The 14,052-nt window shown below is 41.8% G+C and overlaps 1 long non-coding RNA gene and 1 pseudogene across 1 annotated transcript, besides 2 other annotated features; one reads left to right on the top strand and one right to left on the bottom strand.

Annotated features, from left to right (window-relative positions):
- Positions 214 to 273: an enhancer, noted in NCBI's record as "active region_18856". NCBI's record gives its function as "activates an Ori minimal core promoter by ATAC-STARR-seq in GM12878 lymphoblastoid cells {active_cell/tissue: GM12878}" and the evidence as "EXISTENCE:reporter gene assay evidence [ECO:0000049][PMID:35858748]".
- Positions 1,468 to 1,576, bottom strand: RNA5SP496 (RNA, 5S ribosomal pseudogene 496; annotated as a pseudogene).
- LOC105372997 (uncharacterized) lies at positions 4,194 to 14,036 on the top strand. Its single transcript, XR_001755493.3, has 4 exons — positions 4,194 to 5,374; positions 10,983 to 11,039; positions 13,159 to 13,250; positions 13,828 to 14,036. It is a non-coding gene; the product is annotated as an uncharacterized LOC105372997 (long non-coding RNA).
- Positions 11,440 to 11,489: an enhancer, noted in NCBI's record as "active region_18855". NCBI's record gives its function as "activates an Ori minimal core promoter by ATAC-STARR-seq in GM12878 lymphoblastoid cells {active_cell/tissue: GM12878}" and the evidence as "EXISTENCE:reporter gene assay evidence [ECO:0000049][PMID:35858748]".
- Positions 14,037 to 14,052: the final 16 nt, after the last annotated feature.

The raw sequence follows: 14,052 nt of genomic DNA, 5'->3' as shown, positions 1-14,052 counted from the left end.
AAAGGACTTCAATAAACATTTCTTCAAAGAATATAAACAAACAGCCAACAAGCACATTAGTCATTAGGAAAATGCAAATCAAAACCACAATGAGATCCTACTTCGCACTCACAAATATGGCCATAATAAAAAAGGAAAAAAATCAACAACATCCTTGTTGGCAAGGATGTGGAAAAATTAGAATCCTCATACATTGCTGGTGGGATGTAAACTGGTACAGCCACCAGTACCTGACTACAGCCATACCACCACGAACATGTCCAATCTTGTCTAAACTTTGATGTGGAAAAACTGATACGGAAAGTAGTTTGATCAGCCGGGCACAGTGGCTCACGTCTGCAATCTCAGAACTTTGGGGAGCTGAGGGGGGTGGATCACCTGAGGTTGGGAGATGAAGACCAGCCTGGCCAACATGGCAAAACCTGTCTCTACTAAAAATACAAATTTTTGTATTTTTAGTAGAGCCGGGTGTGGTGGCTCACACCTGTAATCGCAGCTGCTCGTGAGGCTGAGGCAGGAGAGTCATTTGAACCCAGGAGGCGGAGATTGCAGTGAACCAAGATCACATCACTGCACTCCAGCCTGGGTGACAGAGCGAGACTCCATCTCAAAAAAAAAAAAAAAAAGAAAAAGAAAAGAAAATAGTTTGATGGTTCCTCGAAAAGTTAAACACAGAATAACCAGCAATGCCACTCCTAGGTATATACTCAAAAGAAATGAAAACAGGTATCAAACAAAAACCTGTACATGAATATTCATAGTAGCATTATTCATAATAGCCAAAAGGTGGAAACAACTCAAATGTCCACCAACTGATGACTAGATAAACAAAATATGGTACATCCATACACAGGAATATTATTCAGCCATAAAAAGAAATGCTGATACATGCTACAACTTAGATGAACCTTCAAAACATCATGCTTAGTAGAAGAAGCCAGACACAAAAGGTTGCATATAGTATGATTCCATTTACATAAAATGTCTGGAATAGGCATATCCATAGAAATACAAAGAGATCAGTATTTACTTGGAACACTTGGGACAATAACAAATAAAATAATAAAAATTTTAAAAAAGAGTCCAGGCGCAGTGGCTCACGCCTGTAATCCCAGCACTTTGGGAGGCCAAGGTGGGTGGATCATAAGGTCAGGAGATCGAGACCGTGGTGAAACCCCGTCTCTACTAAAAATACAAAAAATTAGCCGGGCACGCTGGCGGGCGCCTGTAGTCCCAGCTACTCGGGAGGCTGAGGCAGGAGAATGGCGTGAACCTGGGAGGCGGAGCTTGCAGTGAGCCGAGATCATGCCACTGCACTCCAGCCTGGCTGACAGAGCGAGACTCCGTCTCAAAATAATAATAACAATAATAATAATAATAATAATAATAATTATTATTATTATTATTTAAAAAAGAAGGAGATCAGAGGTTGCCAGAGGGTGAGGAGAAAGGAAAATGAAGAGTGGCTGCCAACAGGTACTAGGTTTCTCCCATCTGAGTACTAACCAGACTCAACCCTGCTTAGCTTCTGAGATCAGACAAGATTGCACATGTTCAGGGTGGTATGGCTGTAGACAGGTACCAGCGTTTCTTTTTGGGGTGATGAAGTGTTCTGGAATTAGATAGCGGTGATGGTTACACAACCTTGTGAATATACAGACATGAGCCACATAATGATGTTTCAGTCAACAGACCGCATATATGACAGTGGTCCTATAACACAGTGGTCCCCAACCTTTTTGGCACCAGGGACTGGTTTCATGGAAGACAATTTTTCCATGGACTGGGGGTGATGGGGGGATGGTTTCAGGATGAAACTGTTCCACCTCAGATCATCAGGCATTAGTTAGATTCTTGGAAGGAGTGCGCAACCTAGATCCCTAGCATGTGCAGTTCACAATAGGGTTCACACTCCTATTAGAATCTAATGTCACCACTGATCTGACAAGAGGCAGAGCTCAGATGGTAATGTTTGCTCACCTGCTGCTCACCTCCTGCTGTGCTACTGGGTTCCTAACTGGCCACAGCCCTGGGGTTTGGGGATCCCCGCTATAAGATTATAATACCATATTTTTACTGTACCTTTTCTATGTTTAGATACACTAATACTTATCATTGTGTTAAAGTTGCCTATAGTATTTAGTACAGTTAGATGCTGTACAGGTTTGTAGCCTGAGATCAGTAGGTTACACCATATAGCCTAGATATGTAGTAGGCTGTCCCGTCTAGGTTTGTGTAATTATACTCTATGATGTTTGCATGACGCATTTCTCAGAACCTATCCTTGTTGTTAAGTGACGCACAGGTACTAACAACTACTGAACTGTATGCTGTAAAATGATGAATTTCATGATATGTGAATTGTATCTCAATAGAAAAGAGCATTTATAAAGTTTTTGTTGCTAAATTTATTTACTTTCGGTAAATTTTCTTTTAAAAGATGTCTATGTTTTACTGTCTTCGTGGTGCTGGGACATAACTGACATCTGAAGCCTTGAATGCCTCTCTTTGCAAACTCATTTGTTACTACTCAGTTACCATCTCACCTCCAATACCCAACTGCATACCAAACCTCTAGCCATTACTAGAACACATACTCTGAGCTCTGCCATACTTTAGCGCCTGCACACATGCTGTTTCTTCTGCTCAGAAACTTTTGTGCCTTCTGTCCATCCCATCCAAGCCTGTTTTTCAATGCCCAACACAAATGTCACTGGTACCCTGAAACTTCAACTCCTCCTTGCCCCATCTCAGAAAATGTAACTTTCTGTATTCTTCTCTCTGTATATTCCTCTAAAGTGGTATTTCTTATACTATACCATAATGACCTGGTCCCATATTTGTCCTCTTCTTCCCTCTTCATCCCAGACTGGGACCACAAGGAGGTAGAACTTTTTCTGTTTTTTTTTTTTTTTGAGACAGAGTCTTGCTCTGTCGCCAGGCTGGAGTGCAATGGCACGATCTCGGCTCACTGCAACCTCTGCCTCCCGGGTTCAAGTGATTCTCCTACCTCAGCCTCCCCAGTAGCTGGGATTTCAGGCGCACATCACCATGCCCAGCTAATTTTTGTATTTTTAGTAGAGACGGGATTTCACCATGTTGACCGGGATGGTCTCGATCTCTTGTCCTCGTGATCCGCCCGTCTCAGCCTCCCAAAGTGTTGGGATTACGGCCATGAGCCACTGCGCCCGGCCGGAGGTACAACTTTCTTAGTCAATCTTGAGCACCAGTGTAGTGCTTAGAATCGGGTAGTGAGAGAAGCTAACATTTACTGAATGCCTAAGAAGTCCAGGGCACATAACAGTCTTCACAACCATCCTGTGAAGTACGTATTACCCTATCCATTTTACAGATAAAGAAACTTGAGTTTCAAGAAAGGTATACCTAAGGTCATTCAACTTGTTAAATGATGGAATGGAGGAGTTGAGACCAGATTGGACTTCTGCCTCTTTTTTTTTTTTTTTTTTTTTTGAGACAGGCTGGAGTGCAGTGGTGTGATCTCAGCTCACTGCAAGCTCTGCCTCCCAGGTTCACGCCATTCTCCTGCCTCAGCCTCCCAAGTAGCTGGGACTACAGGCGCCTGCCACCACGCCCGGCTAATTTTTTCTACTTTTAGTAGAGACGGGGTTTCACCGTGTTAGCCAGGATGGTCTCAATCTCCTGACCTCGTGATCTGCCCACCTCGGCCTCCCAAAGTGCTGGGATTACAGGCGTGAGCGACCGCGCCCAGCCGAACTTCTGCCTCTTAAATCCAGGGTTCTCCCTGTCAGTACAGTGAGGTGGTAACTAGCAAAAGCTATGAGATATGACTGCCTGGGTACATATCCCAGCTCTTTCACTTATCTTTGTGGCTTTACGCAAATTACTTAACCTCTTTATGATTGTTTCTTCATTTGTAAAAGGAAGATAATAACAGTGCCTATATATAGGGTTTTTATGAAGAATAAATGAGATAGTATATATAAAGCACTTAGAACAGTATCTGGCACATACTAGGTGCTCAATAAATGTTAGCGATGACATTTATTACTGTCCCACATTGAGCTGGTGTTTGTTAAACACTGGATGACTGGATAAAATGTACATCTTTCATGCAGAGATTGCTCGATTATCCATTTCACTGATTCAGGATCAGAGTCTCTTAAGAATCCAGAGAGGGGATGTTGAAGCCCTAAGAAGTAAAAACACTAAAATGATAACATTTTGACCTTTTGAAAACTCTTTGAAGTGGCAATGGCCACAAAATTGAGCGGAAACCAAACATATTCAGCCCCATTTCCAGATAAATTGGATTTGCTAAACCACTCAGAATAACAAGAGCAAGAATTAGATGTTCAGCTAAGCTCTAGCTTCTGATCCTAGATGGTGGCAATAACAACGATAGTATTAATGATAATAGCAGAAACTCTTAATATGTGTGAGGCATTCTTCTAAATGCTTTACATATATTAATTTAATGTTCATCGGAGCAGATTCTCCTACTGTATCCAAGAGATCAGAAATTCAGAGCAAAAAGCAGATTGCTGCCTGATAGCAGATCCACTCTAGGAATGGGGAGATTTTCTCATAAATCTAATGACTGGTGAAAGTGACAAGAGGTTAGTCCACTCAGTGTTGGAAAGGACAAGATCCTAGAAAGTGGAAATGCTCCACTATTGCTTTAGGGGGAACAGCCTGGCTACAACTGGGCAGACTTTCTATTACTAACATCAGGATAATAGGGAAGCTCCTGCCAATGCTGCATAGAACTAAGAACACTTAGCAGTGATGGCTGACTTCCAACTGAGCCATTAAGGTAAGTGTAGAAGAAAGCTCCAGGTAGAAATATCTTTGGGAACTCAGAGAACACACTGAGTGTTTGAAGCTGGTACTTAATCTATTATTGAACTCAGAGTTTGCCATTCTGGGGCCAATTTGAGTCCACTTATGACACCTCCCACAGCACTGCTCATTTCTGTTAACTGGGCTTCACAGAGGGTGAGAAGGGCAGCAATCAGATCATATAATTGGGCCTCATTGTAATAAAATGTTGATTTCTGTTGTCCTTGGACTTCCTTCCAGCCACAATCACTCTATGATCTTGTCTGAGATTCTTTTTCCTTTCTCTCTCCATTTTGCTGACTGTAATGGAATAATAGCAGAAGCTCTCAATCTGTATGAGGAATATATATGAAGAATGTGTAACATTCACTGTGTTTCCTAATAGATGAATTATCTAAAGGACACCTCTTAAGAAGAGATGAGATGGAGCCAACTGTCAGAAAAAAAAATGGGTGAAGAAAGTTTCAAGGAGAAGACTCCACAGAGCAGAATGGGAAAGATGGCCAGGAGAAAAGTGAGATAATAAAAGGAAAAGCAGTCCCTGACACAGAAGGTACTCAACAGCTATTTGCTGACTGAAAGAATAAACACTAATAAGAGAATGAAATACCAGGATTATAAAGAGGGAACAAAGATATTTTCCCATCTACTTTGTTGTTACCCCACCCAGGATATATTTAGGTTGGTGCAAAAGTAATTGCGGTTTTTGAATCGTTAATAGATTAACATCTAATTTATGTATTGTTTACATACATACAAATACAAACTACAACCATATATGATACATTTAAAGTAATACGCTAGGCACAGTGGTGCATATCTATAGTCCCAGCTGAGGTGGGAAGACTGCTTGAGCATAGGAGTTCAAGTCCCCTTGGGCAACATAGCAAGACCCTGTCTCTAAACAAAGAAAACAAAAAAAGTGAAGTAATTAATGCCAAACATTGCAATCAGGGTTTGGTGCACTTGAAATACACAAATGAGTGTTTTTACATGCTGAAGACACAGCAACCAACAACTGGGGCTAAAGTGCTGCATTCCTAAAGTTAACCCACAGAGCCTATCATGCCATGCCAAAGTTCACTGCTCCGGCTCCAAACCGGGGACTTTCCTTTCCTATTTCCTCTCCCTAACAGCTTAGAGCTACTGGACTCCATCCTTGAACTCCTCTGTTTACTAAAAATGTTCTTTATAAGCTATGAAATCTGGATTTGAGGTCTGGTTTCTTACTTCAACTTTGCAACTCATTTCCCACCCCGAGTTCACACAATCTCAAAATGTTCATGAATTTTATGGCTAGACCTAAAGCTTCTTTGTGCCTTCCTGCCAGCCTGCCTTTGTTTTGGTACCTTCTAGCCTATCCTCACTCACTTGAGTTTTTACTCTAATTTTCTGTCCAGTCTTCCCACCACTAGTCCCCTATCAAATTGCTTGCTGGACATTTCTATATACATAGCTTGCTTGTCCTTACGTCAAATTCAAAACTACCAAGAGCAAATCCAATGTGTGTTCCCACATCAGCTCCCCTTTCTCACCTCCCTGGTATGGTTACTGACCAATTAGAATGAATGTCCAACCACTCAGAATGCCACAGGCAATAGGCCAAATCAGTGTACTGGGTCCAATGTCAGCCCTGTCCATAATCCTTCTACCCAGCTAAACTTGGAGGAATTGTCTGTTCTCACAGTCTCCCTTCTTCATCTCTTATTCCTTCCATAATCCATACATTTTTAGCCCTCCTTCCTTATCATAAAAATTCCTCCTGACAAGGTCACCAATGGCCTTCTTGTTGCTAAAACCAATTAATTCTTTTTAGCTTTTATTTCACTTGATCATCCTTGGTAACATTTAACAATGCTGACCATTCCCTCCTCCCTGAAACACTCTCCTTAGCTTCTCTGACATTATACTCTTCTGGTTGCAATCCAGTCACCTCTGGTGGTGCCTTCTCAGCCTCCCCCAAACCTGCTTTTCCTCAGGTTTCTTATCTCAGTGAAAGTCACCACCATCCCCTAAGCTCCTAAACCAGAAACCGAATTCCTTATTCTTCTTATTTGCTTCTAACCTTCCTTCAGTCATGGAATCCTGCTTATTCTTAGTTTGCTTCTCTTCACTGCCTACATTTTTTTTTTTTTTTTTTGAGATGGAGTCTCGCTCTGTCGCCCAGGCTGGAGTGCAGTGGCATGATCTCAGCTCACGGCAACCTCCGCCTCCCTGGTTCAAGTGATTCGTCTGTCTCAGCCTCCCGAGTAGCTGGGACTACAGGCACGTGCCACCAGGCCCGGCTAATTTTTGTATTTTTAGTAGAGACAGGGTTTCACCATATTGGCCAGGCTGGTCTCAAACTCCTGACCTCGTGATCCGCCCGCCTCGGCCTCCCAAAGTGCTGGGATTACAGACGTGAGCCACTGTGACCAGCCTTCACTGCCTACATTTTTAAAGCACTTAAATATGTGCTAGGCAGGTGTGTTCTAAGTGATTTATCCTCACAATAAGCCCATAAGGTAAATTTTATTATCTCCAATTTTCAGATTAGGTAACAGAGGCAAAGAGTGGTTAAATAACTTGCATAAAGTCACATAACTACTAAGTGGCAGAGCAGGATTCAAACCCAGGTGGCCTGACTCAATTCTGGATCCAGGTCACTATCCTATCTCACTGAAATCTCTGCAACAGCCTCCTTGGTTTCCAGCCTTCCATCATGGATGGCTTCCCTGTAGCCACAGTGATCTTTGTTAAAACAGAAGTCTGACTCTTGCTACTCTTTTGCATGAAAATCTTTACTGGCTCTTTATTGCCTTCAGAATAAAGTCTACACTCAATATGACATTCAGGGACCTCCATAACCTAGCCAGAAAGTGTATACTTCTTTGGCTTCATGTTTTTGGTTTTTGGCCCCATTTTAACCACGACCCTAAAAGCTCCACTAGCACAATGATAGCCTATACTTCCAGGTTTCTGCACTGTTTGATGTGCCAAGAACACTCTTTCCCACCTTCACATTCGACGACTTCTGATAAGCCTTTTCTGATTTCCTAAGACCAGGGTATATGCCTCTCCTGTGAGCTCCCACAGCTCCCAGTTCTAATTCTCACTGTAGCATTTATTTCACTGTGTTATATGATTCTACTACCCATCTACTAATATTAATATCTGCTTTATCACAAGATTGTGAGCTTCCTGAGAATGGGAACTGTGTAGGATTCACTGTTGTATCCTCAGTACTCACTGCTGCCTACCTGGTGCACGGTAGGCAATATTCATTTAATGAATAAAACTTTATTGTCTATATCACACTCTTTAACACTTACTTATATAATGCCCTATATTGATTTTATTTTCATATGTGTTAGCCTGATCTTTATAACCAGAATGTCAGTTTCTTGAAAGATAGCAATTATACCCAGTACTTCTTTTATAAATTTATTTACTCTTAGGCTGGGTGCAGTGGCTCACGCCTATAATCGCCAAATTTTGGGAGGCTGAGGCAGGAGGATCACTTGAGTCGAGGAGTTTGAGGTCAGCCTGGGTATAGTGAGACCTCATCTCTATAAAAAATAAGCAAGATTAGCTGGGCATGGTGGCATGCACCTGTGGTCCCAGCTATTCAGGAGAGCTGAGGTGGGACGGCTTGAGCTCCAGAGCCTGAGGCTACAGTAAGCCATGATCATGCCACTCCAGCCTCGGTGACAAAGCGAGATCCTGTCTCATAAAAGAAAAAAAAATTATCTTTAGAGATGGGGTCTCACTCTGTCCCCCAGGATGGAGTGCAGTGTCATGATCATAGCTCACTGCAGCCTTGAACTCTTGGGCTCAAGAGATCCTCCCACCTCAGCCTCCCAAGTAGCGGGGACTACAGGTCTGTGCTGCCATGCCCAGCTGATTCTTTTATTTGCAGAGATGGGGGTCTCACTATGTTGCCCAGGCTGGTCTTGAACTTCTGACCTCAAGCAATACTCCTGCCTCAGCCTCCCAAAATGTTGGAATTATAGGCAAAACCCACCATGCCTGGCCTATACCTAGTACTTACAAGTTAGGAGGTACTCACAAAAATTCCTGATAACAGCTAACATTTATTCAGGGATCAATGAATGTCAACAATCCAATGATTTTGGTAATTTTTCTCTCTCTCTCTGCCTCCCTCCATATGAGGAAACTGAGCCATAGTTTAGTAGCTTGCCTAAGATGACATAGCTAGGAAGCAACAGAGCTGGGATTTGAATCCTCATGTTGGTGCCTGCATTCTTAACCACTATGATAACAGGCTAAGAAAGCTTAAAATTATAGATGCTAAGTAACTTACCTAAGATCTTTTTAAACATTTAAAAAGTTTTTTTTTTCCTTTGTTAGTAGGCAAGGAACTAAGATCATAGTGCAGTGCTAAGACTAGAACCCAAGTATTTTCAAAGGCTACGCTCGGCTGGGCGTGGTGGCTCATGCCTATAATACCAGCACTTTGGGAGGCTGAGGTGGGTGGATCACGAGGTCAGGAGTTTGAGATCAGCCTGGCCAACATGGTGAAACCCCATCTCTACTAAAAATACAAAAAATAGCTGGGCGTGGTGGCGGGTGCCTGTAATCCCAGTTATTCGGGAGGCTGAGGCAAGAGAATCTCGCTTGAACCTGGGAGGCGGAGGTTGCAGTGAGCCAAGATCGCACCACTGCACTCCAGTCTGGGCGACAGAGCGAGACTCTGTCTCAAAAACAAAAACAAAAACAAAAAAAAACCCCAAAGCCTACGCTCATAAATTATTTGGTATACTGCTTCTCCTACTTTAAAAGTCAGTACTAAGCTCATACTGGGTGTTAATACATTTTAAAACTGCAAATCCAGTTTACTGAAATTGGAGAATATCAGATCCCCTTCCAAGAGAGGCATAATTGTAGCTTACTGGGTGAATTCACCTTTTATATTGACAGTCTAGCCTTATGAACCAATTAAGTTTGTAGTTTCTGCATTCTTCCTGTGACACTGAAGACTGTTTTCATCAATGTGAAAACCATGTTATCTAAGCTAAATCAAAATCCACTCTCATTCAGAATTTATTCTTCCTTTTATTTCTCAACACCAGTGACATGTTCCCAAGTTCTCTGCCTTTGTGGCTCCTTAGTTTCCAGTGTGGAATGTCTTATTTCTGAAAGCAACCTGTGATTGACAAGCCTTCTTGGCTATTCTGTAGTTTACCCTAAAAAAAATCTGTTCTCTCTGTCGGCTCATTAGACTGCTTTTCCTTACATGGTACTCTGCTTTTCCCCTTTATTTCAAGCATTTATTAAAACTAAACTATGTACCAAGCATACACAAAATGGATATAACCTAACTCTTTGAAGGCTACACTTCAAAGAAACAGCCTTGGTGTTTACATATTTTGACTAGAATATTATTTCCCTAACAAGCTGCATAAAACCATTCCTGCTCAGTTTGTAATTATACACCAAAATATTGAGCACAATTTCAGTAGCTACTTCTACAGCACATCATATAAAGTGAATTGCTGGAGCCAACTCATTAGGTCTTATTCCAAAGATTTTTACCAACACTTTGGCCCTCTTTTGCTGACAAAAAAGGATTCTTAAGCCTTTTAACAGCTTTATAACTTCCTTATTAGAGTTCACTCACTAACATATCCTGTTAACAAAATGAAGTGCCCATCCTTCTTGGGAAACACTCTGGAGAATATTTCCTGATTTCATCGCACAGCTTTGTCTCTGGATTAGTAATCATCTAATACGAAACTGAGGATATGAGTATTATGTTTCACAATGTTGTCTTCAAGGATATAAACAACTCAAAATTTAAGTATTTGAGTAGCACTGTATCACATTATTATTGCCGTGATATTTTCAGAAGAAATCTGAAGTCTGCGCTAACTACAGGCCATAAAATATGGCCATCTTGCCCCAATAAATGGAGCAAAGTTCAAATCTGGATCATCAGAAAAAGACAAGAGGCACATTTCTAAACCAAATCTGATTGCCTTGAGGAAGGAAGGTACTGAACCTGTTAGAGTACATCTCTGAAGGACTGAGAATCAAGTCCTTCATTCCCTCGCCCCCTAAAAAAATCCAATCAATCATGCTGATAAATGTCTTAGTTACAGGGGAGAAAAAATAGACATGACTAAGCTGAAAAAAATCTTCTGGCTTTGTATCTTTTCTAGGCAGTGCTGTTCCTGATAAGACACATGACACAAAATATGGTTTTGCTGAGTATCAAGGTAAGTTAGGGAAAATAGTATTTTTTAAATAGGAAAATTAGATGACAACAGCAACAGGTAAAGAAGCCTTGGGCTTCTGAGGTAGAAATACTAGCATCCCTACATAGGCATGGTAGATAATCTGAAACTAGTACAAGTGCTGGCCTGTTATAGCCTGTCTCTACCGTAATCAGAGGGAAAAGTATTACAATCCAGCAAAAGTAGCCCTTCAAAATCTAAGGAGGAGCATTTCATCAGATATCAATAAATGAACCCTCGCTGCATACAAAGGCAATACATTACGTGCTGAGTGACCAACTTCAAAGAACCTTCTGCTGTTCTGAAATTTAAAACTACTCTCATTTCCTCAAGCCTGTATTTTATGTAATGAAACAAAATGCACATCATATGTCTCCTGCTGCACTGTAAGAGTAAACATAGGACCCCTCCCACCAAAAATTGTGCAAAGAGCCCTTCCCCTTCAGCTTTTTGCTATAGAAATATCCTACTACTTCCCTGAAAATAGTATATGCTTTCTTTGGCAAGTGGAATATCACCCTGTTACTCTCTCCCTTACTCTGCTTCACTTTTTTTCGCATAACGCTTAAGATTACCTAATATTTTACATGTTTATCATGTCTCTCCCAATTAGAATATAAGCTTCATGAGGGCAGAGATTTCAAATATTTTGTTCACAGATGTATTCCCAGTATCTACAACTATATTTAGCATGTAGCAGATTCTCAAAAATATTTGTAAAATTAATAAAATTTAAAAATCCCTATTATATTGGAATTGTTAAATTAAAAAAAAATTTTGGCCAGGCGCAGTGGCTCACACCTATAATCCCAGCACCTTAGGAGGCCAAGACAGGCGGATTACGAGGTCAGGAGATCGAGACCATCCTGGCTAACACAGTGAAACCCCGTCTCTACTAAACAAAATACAAAAAATTAGCCGGGCGTGGTGGCGGGCGCCTGTAGTCCCAGCTACTCGGGAGGCTGAGGCAGAATGGCGTGAACCCAGGAGGCGGAGCTTGCAGCGAGCCGAGATGGCGCCACTGCATTCCAGCCTGGGCAACAGAGCAAGACTCTGTCTCAAAAAAAATAAATTTTTTTTTTAAGACAGGGTCTCTCTTTGTTGCCCAAGCTGGAGTGCAGTGGCATGATCACAGGTCACTGCAGCCTCCAACTCCTGAACTCAAATGATCCTCCCACCTCAGTAGGTGGGACTACAGATGAGTGCCACCACACCTACCTATTTTTTTTTTTTTGTAGAGATGAGGGTCTTATTATGTTGCCCAGGCTGGTCTCAAACTCCTGGGCTCATCCTCCCACCTTGGCCTCCCAAGTGCTGGGATTTACAAGTGTGAGCCACTATACCTGGCCAAATTTTAAAATGCTACCGTATCTGTGTATGAATATGTGTGAATAAATTTACAGACTCTAGGGTGTAATTCACAGGGTAGACCAAGTCAAGAGTCAGAGGATCAGAAGCTTGGGTGGGGAGATAGGAGAGTGATTGCAAAAACAAAGCAATCTATCTTATTAAATGGACGAAAGGGATCAAACATTATCAGTAAACTATTTTAAAGAGTGAATTAAATGTATCTCTCTATCCTTTCTATGAGTGTAGTGAATTCAGATTCACCTCAGATTAGTTGAATTGACACTAGTTTTCTTCCCTGATAAAGCTTTTAAAATTTATTTAGTAAAGTGGCCAGGCATGGTGGCTCACACCTGTAATCCCAGAACTTTGGGAGGCCAAGGTGGGTGGATCACCTGAGGTCAGGAGTTTGAGACCAGCCTGGCCAACATGGTGAAACCCCATCTCTACTAAAAAAATACAAAAAAAAATTTAGCCAGGCGTGGTGGCGCACACCTTTAATCCCAGCTACTTGGGAGGCTGAGGCAGGAGAATTGCTTGAACCTGGGAGGTGGAGGTTGCAGTAAGCCGAGATGGTGCCACTGCACTCCAGCCTGGGAGACAGAGACTCTGTCCCCCCCACCCAAAAAAAAATTAGTTGTTTTCCTCCTTAAATTACAGCCTGCAAGATTGAAACAGAGTTTCCCCATTTCTATTTTGGGATCTGACTGAGTCACAAGGTAGTCTTGACGAATCACTCTGCTCTATCTCTCAGTTTACTGAGGCTGCCTGGGAACTTGAGCTGTCAGCCAAACAGGAAGAAGGGCCCTTCTGCCTACTCCAAAAGGCCTCAGTCAAATGGATATGGTGAGATTTAATGATGGATATAAATTACAGCAAATGGATTTCCTATAGGGTGAGGGAAAAAAAAAAAAGCAAACATTTTACTTAAATTCCTCTATACAATTTAGGGCTGGCAGAAAGGGTAGACTATTACAATGTAGCTGAGCAAATTTTTCCATGTTTGCATAACATGTGTTTTCAACTAAAGATACTCCTTCTATAGTCCTACTATATACAACACCCCAAAAAACCTCAAATGTAAGAAAAAGCAATGTGACAGATTTGACCCTGGCCAAGTTACACTGTTTTTTTTTTTTTTTTTTTTTTTTTTTTTTTTTAAGTGTCAGTGTTCATAAAGGCCCTTTTTCTTTTTCAAGGATGGGTATAAAGTGTTACTCGGCCGAACGCGGTGGCTCACACCTGTAATTCCAACACTTTGGGAGGCCGAGGCAGGTGGATTACGAGGTCAGGAGTTCAAGACCAGTCTGGCCAACACAGTGAAACCCCCGTCTCTATTAAAAATACAAAAAATTAGCTGGGTTGTGGTGGTGTGCCCCTGTCACAAGGTAGTCTTGACGAATCACTCTGCTCTCTCTCTCAGTTTACTGAGGCTGCCTGGGAGCTGTCAGCCAAACAGGAAGAAGGGCCCTTCTGCCTAACTCCAAAAGGCCTAAGTCAAATGGATATGGTGAGATTTAATGATGGATATAAATTACAGCAAATGGATTTCCTATAGAGTGAGGGAAAAAAAAAATCCAGCTACTCCGGAGACTGAGGCAGAATTGCGAGAACCCGGCAGGTGGTTGCAGTGAGCCGAGATTGTGCC

The sequence above is a fragment of the Homo sapiens genome, chromosome 22 (assembly GCF_000001405.40).
Source record: "Homo sapiens chromosome 22, GRCh38.p14 Primary Assembly".
In the NCBI taxonomy this organism is placed as follows: Eukaryota; Metazoa; Chordata; class Mammalia; order Primates; family Hominidae; genus Homo; species Homo sapiens.
The sequence above is the reverse complement of the archived record's forward strand: the minus strand, read 5'-3'. Positions and strand labels throughout refer to the sequence as shown.